This window comes from Homo sapiens, chromosome 13 (genome assembly GCF_000001405.40).
Source record: "Homo sapiens chromosome 13, GRCh38.p14 Primary Assembly".
Classification (NCBI taxonomy): domain Eukaryota; kingdom Metazoa; phylum Chordata; class Mammalia; order Primates; family Hominidae; genus Homo; species Homo sapiens.
In genome coordinates this window covers 21271040-21281523 of record NC_000013.11, presented here as the reverse complement: position 1 = coordinate 21281523, position 10484 = coordinate 21271040, and the positions used below count along the sequence as shown (strand labels likewise).

The 10484-nt window shown below is 37.0% G+C and overlaps 1 long non-coding RNA gene across 2 annotated transcripts in view; it reads right to left on the bottom strand.

Annotated features, from left to right (window-relative positions):
* Positions 1-10484, bottom strand: part of LOC105370105 (uncharacterized) — a 32756-nt gene that overhangs the window by 11245 nt on the left and 11027 nt on the right. The window contains exons 3-4 of one of the 2 annotated variants that reach the window (XR_001749771.1): positions 3422-3475; positions 1229-1255 (exon numbers count right to left, since the gene is read on the bottom strand). This is a non-coding gene — a long non-coding RNA (uncharacterized LOC105370105). Of the gene's footprint in view, positions 1-1228; positions 1256-3421; positions 3476-10484 lie in introns of those variants that run through there. The other variant, XR_001749768.3, reaches the window with a different exon arrangement.

The following is a 10484-nucleotide window of genomic DNA, read 5'->3' as shown; positions in this document are numbered from 1 at the left end:
ATGAAATAAACCATGCATCCATGTTGATCTAAGTAAATGAATAAATTGAAGATTTCAAGAGGAACAGAGATATTTACCTAGTCTTAAACTACCTCCCCACAATATACTAACTGATTACAAGATTAAAAAGCAACACTGCAGAAAAGAAACCCAGCAGATACCACCATTAATGATCAATGCTAATATCACTAGTAATAAGACAAATCAAAATCAAGGTCAAATGACAGGATGCAATGAGAAGATCAGAGGATCGCCTCTGAGATACTCTTGCCAAAAATAATACAATCTAAGCCTATTCATAATGAAACATCAGAAAAAACCAGCTGAGAGACATTCTTTATTTTGAACTTTACTCTTCAAAAGATTCAGAGTCATGAAAGTCAAGGAAACCTGAGGAACTGTTCAGACAGAAGGAGTGTAAGTGACACAACAACTAAATGTAACCCATGGATCTAAATGGGATCCTTGTGCTATAAAAGACATGGCAGACAATTAATAAAAGCTCAACAGAAGCTGAGGATTGGATGATATGATGCTTTGATGTTAACTTTCTGATTATCAAGGTTGCATTGTAGTTATATAGAGTGTCCTGACTTGTGGGAATACCTACTAAAGTAATCAGGAGTGCTGGCCTAATGTCAGCAATTTACTCTCACATGCTTCAGGGGAAAGAGTTACTTGTATTAAAACTTGGAACTTTTCTATAATTTCAACAGTACTTCCAAAAAGTTCATAAATATAAAGATAGATAGATAGATAGATAGAGTGAAAAGCCTTAGGGAAACTTTATTTTTCCTGAAGAAAAGATGTGTATAAATCAGTGCTTAAAGCTGAAATTATCTAAGTTTGATGGCACTGTAACTATTGAAATACATTGAAACATTGCAATGGCCACAGTATCAGTATACCAAAATGATGTCTGTCTAAATCAGAATCTATCACTATATATATAGTGATAAAAATTATAAAATAAGAATAAATCATCACTTCACTAAAGTATTAGTGACAACTTAGTTATTTGACTGTTTAAACAGCTGACATTTTGGCAGTTTGAGTATGCAAAACTCAAAAATACTAGTTTTCATTTGCAAGATCTGCTTGAAAATTAGTTAAGGAGGCCAAGAAACATCATTTTAAACACAATGTAAGTTTTCACAAGACATGCATGATACAAAAACATTTTCCTTCAATAAAGACTTACCCATGTCAGGGATGCCCTCTCTCACCACTCCTATTCAACATAGTGTTGGAAGTTCTGGCCAGGGCAATTAGGCAGGAGAAGGAAATAAAGGGTATTCAATTAGGAAAAGAGGAAGTCAAATTGTCCCTGTTTGCAGATGACATGAATGTACATCTAGAAAACCCCATCATCTCAGCCCCAAATCTCCTTAAGCTGATAGGCAACTTCAGCAAAGTCTCAGGATACAAAATCAATGTGCAAAAATCACAAGCATTCTTATACACCAATAACAGACAAACAGAGAACCAAATCATGAGTGAACTCCCATTCACAATTGCTTCAAAGAGAATAAAATACCTAGGAATCCAACTTACAAGGGACGTGAAGGACCTCTTCAAGGAGAACTACAAACCACTGCTCCATGAAATAAAAGAGGATACAATCAAATGGAAGAACATTCCATGCTCATGGGTAGGAAGAATCAATATAGTGAAAATGGCCATACTGCCCAAGGTAATTTATAGATTCAATGCCATCCCCATCAAGCTACCAATGACTTTCTTCACTGAAATGGAAAAACCTACTTTAAAGTTCATATGGAACCAAAAAAGAGCCCGCATTGCCAAGTCAATCCTAAGCCAAAAGAACAAAGCTGGAGGCATCCACTACCAGACTTCAAATTCTACTACAAGGCTACAGTAACCAAAACAGCATAGTACTGGTGCCAAAACAGAGATATAGACCAATGGAACAGAACAGAGCCCTCAGAAATAATGCCGCATGTCTGTAACCATCTGATCTTTGACAAACCTGACAAAAACAAGAAATGGGGAAAGGATTCCCTATTTAATAAATGGTGCTGGGAAAACTGGCTAGCCATATGTAGAAAGCTGAAACTGGATCCCTTCCTTACACTTTATACAAAAATTAATTCAAGATGGATTAAAGACTTACATGTTAGACCTAAAACCATAAAAACCCTAGAAGAAAACCTAGGCAATACCATTCAGGACATAGGCATGGGCAAGGACTTCATGTCTAAAACACCAAAAGCAATGGCAACAAAAGCCAAAATTGACAAATGGGATCTAATGAAACTAAAGAACTTCTGCACAGCAAAAGAAACTACCATCAGAGTGAACAGGCAACCTAAAGAATGGGAGAAAATTTTTGCAATCTACTCATCTGACGAAGGGCTAATATCCAGAATCTACAATGAACTCCAGCAAATTTACAAGAAAAAACCAACCCCATCAAAAAGTGGGTGAAGGATATGAACAGACACTTCTGAAAAGAAGACAGTTATACAGCCAAAAGACACATGAAAAAATGCTCATCATCACTGACCATCAGAGAAATGCAAATCAAAACCACAATGAGATACCATCTCACACCAGTTAGAATGGCGATCATTAAAAAGTCAGGAAACAACAGGTGCTGGAGAGGATGTGGAGAAACGGGAACACTTTTACACTGTTGGTGGGACTGTAAACTAGTTCAACCATTGTGGAAGTCGGTGTGGCGATTCCTCAGGGATCTAGAACTAGATATACCATTTGACCCAGCCATCCCATTACTGGGTATATACCCAAAGGATTATAAATCATGCTGCTATAAAGACACATGCACACGTATGTTTATTGTGGCACTATTCACAATAGCAAAGACTTAGAACCAACCCAAATGTCCAACAATGATAGACTGGATTAAGAAAACGTGGCACATACACACCATGGAATACTATGCAGCCATAAAAAATGATGAGTTCATGTCCTTTGTAGGAACATGGATGAAGCTGGAAACCATCATTCTCAGCAAACTATCGCAAGGACAAAAAAACCAAACACTGCATGTTCTCACTCACAGGTGGGAATTGAACAATGAGAACACATGGACACAGGAAGGGGAACATCACACACCAGGGCTTGTTGTGGGGTAGGGGGAGGGGGGAGGGATAGCATTTGGAGATATATCTAATGTAAATGACGAGTTACTGTGTTCAGCACACCAACATGGCACATGTATACATATTTAACCTGCACGTTGTGCACATGTACCCTAAAAATTAAAGTATAAAAATAAAAAGAGTTATCCGTGTCATATACATAATGAGAAATAAAATGTCACGTAAACAGCCCAGTAATCACATTTTACTGTCTTTCCACTCATATGTATCTGGTTAAAATCAGTACGTATTTCTATAGTATTTCCAAATTATATCTTAATTTATGTTTGACTTACCACCAGGTCCTAGATGAGGAAACACATGTGATCCCAATTCAAATTCAGCAACGTCTGGAAAGAAAAAAGAAATAATTATATTTTTATCTAAAATATTCCATATTTAAAGTAAGTTTAAGTTAGTAATAAGAGTTGAGAACTTTATCAGTGTTAATAAAAATAAAAAATACATATGTAAAATTACAACACAAAATTACTGTGATATATAATTGGATGATAGTCACAGATTGAATTAATTGTCATTGTGGTTAAGTATCAGAGCTTCTGGTTTTCTCATTTTTCATTCATTTATTCAACAACCATATGCTCAGGGACAAGGACTAGCACTGGAATTACAAGATGAAGATGATACAGTCCACCCCTCAACAATTGCATGCTACAACCTGAAAAACAAACAGACACACATGCAATTTCCACAGAGAGTCACAGAAAAGAAAAGATAAAATAAAATATACTCATAGAACATTTTTTGTCTTACCAGTAAACAATTTTCCAGGCTGGGCATAGTGGCTCACGCCTGTAATCCCAGCACTTTGGGAGGCCAAGGTGGGAAGATCACTTGAGCCCAGGAGTTTGAGGCCAGCCTGGGCAACATAGTGACACCTCATCTCTGAAAAAAAAAAAAAAAAGTGCCTGTGGTCCTCCTTACTAAAAAGGATGAGATGGGAAGCTCACTTGAGCCCAGGAATTCAAGGCTACAGTGAGTCAAGATCCTGCCACTGCACTCAAGCCTGGGTGACAAAGTGAGACTCTGTCTCAAAGAACACCAAAAAACAAAACAAAAAAACACCCACACATTTCTCCATAGTCATATTAGTGTAAACAATGAATACAGATCTAACAAAAAATTGTGATGTATCTATATTGGAAGGATGAGGAGAAGATATATACACTAGATGACATCTAAAATAGATAGAAGCATATAATTTAGAAATATAAAAAGTAAAATACATCTAAAAGATTAAAAGACGTTGACTCTGAGAACAGGCCTAATAGGTGATAAAAAGAACTGCTTCATAAGCCTTGTGCTTTATATTGTCACCTTTTATATTAAACCAAATGCTTACTATGATTTTTAAAATCAAATTATTTTAAAAGAAGGCAAAGAGACAGACTGGGAAACATATTTCCAACACATGTAAGAGTTTAAGAATTAAAGCCCATAATATATTGAGTTCCTACAAACACAATTAACAAAGAGCCCAACAGAAACAGTCAAAGGATGTAAAAAGGTAAGTCACAGAGGAAGTACAAATAGCCAATAAACATATGAAAAGACGTGTAATCTGGTTATCAATCAGCGAAATGCAAATGAAAACACCATTGATATCAGTTTTTACCCAGAACATTTGCAAGATTAACAATATCCAGTATTAGTTAGACTGTGGAAAAATAGGATTTTTACATAGTTGGTTGGAGTGGGTCAACTGGCTATCATTTCAGAAGAGAATTTGTAAGTATTTATTGCAATTTAAAATACACCTATTCTTTGACCCTTCTAGGAATTGAAAGTATTCAAACATGTACACAAGAACATGTGTAAAAGGATCTACTATAGCTCCATTATTCAAAAGGAAAATGGTAAAAGAAATTATGGTCTGCGTTCAGAACAATGGGACATATAGAACTATGAAATGAATAAGGTCTATCTGTATGTACTGACAAGGAAATGCTTTCAAGACATACTGCTATGTAATAAATAAATAAATAAATATATATATATATATGCACACTGCAGGACAATATATGTATAGTATGTTCCCATACAAGTCAAATAAAACAGCAGATAAATGTGTAACTGCCATTTAATGTGGATTGAGAGAACACATATCAAACTATCGAAAATGCTTATTTCAGAAAAAAAGAGAAATGACAGGTAAAGTATAATTTTTTTACACCATTTGACTTTTTTGCAGGTAAACTTTCATCATTATTTATGTAATTTAAAATATTTTTAATAAACCAAAGAAGCACAATACAGTAAAGAAAACATAAGAGATAGTGAAACATTAAACATAAGAAGGAAATTCTATATGATGCACAATCAAATAAGGTGATAGGTTAATTGTGTCTAATTCTGCTTTAAGTATTGAATAGACTTTAAAAATATGGTACAACAAATAAAGGGTGAATTGCAGTTAGTAGCAATGACCAATTCTTTTTGAGAAGGGCATAGTAGAGCACTGAACCAAATTCAGTCATTTTCACTTTGAATTGTTGTTTTCCACTTCTATGTACTATCAAAACTATTATTTCTTTTTCTGTCAGTACTTTAAGGCTCTTGTTCCCAGGCCATAATCTCATCTAAAACAACAAACAGATCCTGCTACCTTTCAGTTAGCACCTACCTAATAATCTTTACACTTTCCCTAATTTTCTCCACACTATACTTGCCCAAATAACAGAGCCCTTCTTTAGGGTTTTATGGTAATTTGAACTTATCTCAATGTTCTTCTTGGCTCATATTACAGCATATATTTCAGATACCATAGAGGATATGTAAGAATTGAAAAGGTTTAAACCAACTAAAGAATACAAACAAAAGTGTGATTAACATCCATCCTGACCTTCTTTCGCCACTGAAGCCTCTAAATTGAGAGTTACTCTAGGAAAGCATATCAAAAATAGCCTTAGACTAGCCATATGCAGAAGACTGAAATTGGACCCCCACCTTTGACCATATACAAAAATCAACTCAAGATGGATTAAAGGCTTAAATGTGAAACCTAAAACTATAAAAACCCTGAAGAAGATCTAGGAAATACCATTCTAGACAACAGCCCAGGCAAGGACTTCATGACAAAGTCAAAAAGCAACTGTAGGCCAGGTGCGGTTACTTACTCCTGTAATCCCAGCACTTTGGGAGGCTGAGGCGGGCAAATCACCTGCGATCAGGAGTTCAAGAGCAGCCTGGCCAACATGGCAAAACCCCGTCTCTATGAAAAATACAAAAAAAATTAGCTGGGCATGGTGGCGGGCCCCTGTATCCCAGCTACTTGGGAGGCTGAGGCAGGAGAATCACTTCAGGCTGGGAGGCAGAGGTTGCAGTGAGCTGAGATCGCCCCACTGCACTCCCCTCCACAACAAGAGCAAAAACTCTGTCTCAAAAAAAAACAAAAGCAGCTGTAACAGAAATAAAAATTGACAAGTGTGATCTAATAATGATCTAATAAAACTAATGAGCTTCTGCACAACAAAAGAAATTTCAATAAACAGACAACCTGCAGAATGAGAGAAAATATCTGCAAACTATGCATCCAACAAAGGTCTAATATCCAGAATCTATAACTCAAACAATTGAAGAAGCAAAAAACAATCAACACTATTAAAAAATGGGCAAAGGACATGACCAGACGCTTCTCAAAAGAAGACATACACATGGCCAGCAAACATTTGAAAAAATGCTCAATGTCATGAATCATCCGGGAAATGCAAATCAAAACCACGAGATACCACTGCACACCAGTCTGAATGACTATTATTAAAAAATCAAAAACAACAGATGCTGGTGAGGTTGCAGAGGAAGGGGAATGCTTATACACTGTTGGTGGAAATGTAAATTAGTTCAGCCACTGTGGAAAGCAGTCTGGAGATTTCTCAAAGAACTTAAAACAGGACTACCATTCGACCCAGCAATCCCATTACTGGGTATATGCCCACATGAATGTAAATTATTCTATCATAAAGACACATGCATATGTATGTTCATTGCAGCACCATTCACAATAACAAAGACATGGAATGGAATCAATCTAGGTGCCCATGAGTGGTGGACTGGATAAAGAAAATGGGGGACATATACACCATGGAATACTATGCAGCTACAAAGATAATGAGATCATGGCCTTTGCTGCAACATGGATGGAGCTGGAGGCCATTATCCTAAGTGAATTAATGCAGAAACAGAAAACCAAATACTGCATTCCTCATTTACAAGTGGGAGCTAAACACCAAGCACATATAGGCACAAAGAAGGGAGCAACAGGCACTGGGGCCTATTCGAGGGGGGAGGGTGGGAGGAGAATGAATATTGGGAAACTACCTACAGGTATTATGCTGATTACCTGGGTGACAAAATTATCTGTACACCAAACCCCCATGACACTCAAGTTACCCATGTAACAAGCTTGCACATGTACCCCTGAACCTAAAAGTTGGAAATAAAAAAAAATAGGAGGAAAACAAAAATTAGAGACACAAATAAATGAGAGTTTTAAAAAGAAGACATAAATTAAAAAGTGAAAATTTAGCTATTTGAAAAAAATAATTTCCAATTCCCTAACAACACATGATGTTTTCATATGCCATCCTTATATGTTCTTTGGTAAGGTATCTGAACAGATATTTTACCATTTTATTTTTATTTATTTTTATTTTTATTTATGCATTTTTTTTTTTTGAGACGAAGTCTCGCTCTGTCACCCAGGCTGGAGTGCAGCGGCACAATCTCAGTCAATGCAACCTCTGCCTCCCGGGTTCAAGCGATTCTCCTGCCTTAGCCTCCCATGTAGCTAGGATTACATACATGTGACACTATGCCCAGCTAATTTTTGTGTTTTTAGTAGAGATGGGGTTTCACCATGTTGGCCAGGCTGGTCTCAAACTCCTGACCTCAGGTGATCCACCCACCTCAGGCTTCCAAAGTGCTGGGATTACAGGCGTGAGCCACCATACTAGCCCATTTTATTTTATTTTATTGAGACGGTCTTGCTCCATCACCCAGGCTGGAGTGCAGTGACAAGATCTCAGCTCACTGCAACCTCCCTGTCCTCAGTTCAAGATATTCTCATGCCTCAGCCTCCTCAGTAGCTGGAATTACAGGAGTGTACAACCACGCCTGGCTAATTTTTGTATTTTTAGTGGAGACAGGGTTTCACTGTGTTGGCCAGGCTGGTCTTAAACTCCTAACCTCAAGTGATCTGCCTGCCTCAGCCTCCCAAAGGGCTGGGATTATAGGCGTAAGCCACTGCACCCAGCCATATTTTGCCATTTTATAATGGGATTTTTCATTTCTCATTGTTGAGTTTTAAGATTTTTATTTTATTTATTTATTTATTTATTTATTTAGAGACAGAGTTTCACTCTTGTTGCCCAGGCTGGAGTGCAATGGCACAATCTTGGCTCACTGCAACCTCCACCTCCTGGGTTCAAGTGATTCTCTCGCCTCAACCTCCCAAGTAGCTGGGATTACAGGCGTCCACCACCATGCCTGGCTAATTTTTGTACTTTTAGTAGAGACGAGGTTTTACCATGTTGACCAGGCTAGTCTTGAACTCCTGACCTCAGGTGATCCACCTGCCTCGGCCTCCCAAAGTGCTGGTATTACAGGCGTGAGCCACCACACCTGGCCAATAATTTTTAATATATATTTTGTATACCTGTCCTTTATCACAGATATGTGTTTTGCAAATATTTTCTTCTACTCTGTGGCTTGTCTTTTTATTTATATTTATTTATTTATTTATTTATTTATTTATTTATTTATTTATTTTTGAGATGGAGTTTCACTCTTGTTGCTCAGGCTGGAGTGCAATGGCATTATCTCGGCTCACCACAACCTCCACCTCCGAGGTTCAAGCAATTCTCCTGCCTCAGCCTCCCAAGTAGCTAGGATTACAGGCATGCACCACCACGCCCGGCTAATTTTGTATTTTTAGTAGAGATGGGGTTTCTCCATGTTGAGGCTGGTCTCGAACTCCTGACCTCAGGTGATCCATCCACCTCAGCCTCCCAAAGTGCTGGGATTATAGGCATGAGCCACCGCGCCTGGCGTCTTTTTATTTTTTAACAGTATCTTTTACAGTGCGGACGTCTTATTTTAAATATAGTTCAACTTACCACTTTCTTCTTTCATGGATCATGCTTTTATGTTGTATTAAAGAAGCCCCCCCACAAATCTCCCCTCCCCCATAAAAACCAGCCTTAGAAACACTCTGTTACTGGGTAGGCATAAATGTGATTAAATTTAGTTAAAATCAAAGTAGAAGCTAAAATAAAAACGATGTCATTAACAATCTAACATATAAAACTAGTACCAAATCTAAGTGAGAACAATTCCACCTAATAGTTCTTGTAAATCTTTATGCAGGCAAAGCACAAGAGAAGGGACTAACAAGTTCTTAAAACAGAAACAGAAAGCTATTCTAAATTGGAAAAATAATTTATACGCATTAAGTGGCAAAACAACCTTAATTTTTATATAATGGAAAAACAACATAGTGCGCATTAAATTGTAAATACATGACATGTCATTTTGTCATTTTCAATATTATGTTCCAACACTGACCCAGTGAGCTACTAAAAACAAAACAAAACATCTTTCCCCAAAAACATCCAAGTAAATCTTCATAAAGCTAAATATTAGTAGGGAAAGAAATGTATTTCAGTAATCTCAACATTTAAATATAAGAAATATCAAAGAAAGTTATTGAATTGTTGAGGCTCCAGGTTACAATGCCAGTTTCTCAAAGTACAAGTTTCTAAGTGTGTACCCAGGGCAGTGATCAAAGTGAGAGTTTCCACAGTCCTTTCCTGTTTTTACTTCAGATAACAATTGCCTTAGGGAGCTGGAAATGAGTTACCCACCACCTCCTTTTCCAACCCTGAAATATCGATAATATGCACAGTGACATGTGGACAATTGTCACATTTATCTCCTCAACCTGACCAAAAAAACCATGTTTCTCTCCTTTTTTAGAAATTAAATTTTCTCAGAAACCAGGTCAAATTTAAGATAAATTCCATTGGAGTTTGATCACTCATGATTTTGATGCAGTGTTTCACTGCTGATGACAATATACTACCAGTTCGTGCTTTCCTAGCACCCTGTTTGGTGGTTCCCAGATAATACATACTATCCTTGTTAATATTCTAAGATTTAAAATGTTCCAGTATAAAGTAAAATTTTGAAAAATAAAATGTTACTGTATACAACGGAAAACAGTTACAGAAGCAAACCCCCTCACAATGTTGTTGCTGTAGAAACAGGGACGATGATGGTGATGATGCTTTACTGGTTAACCTCACTTACTCCTCATGCCAATCTCATATAATGACCACTATT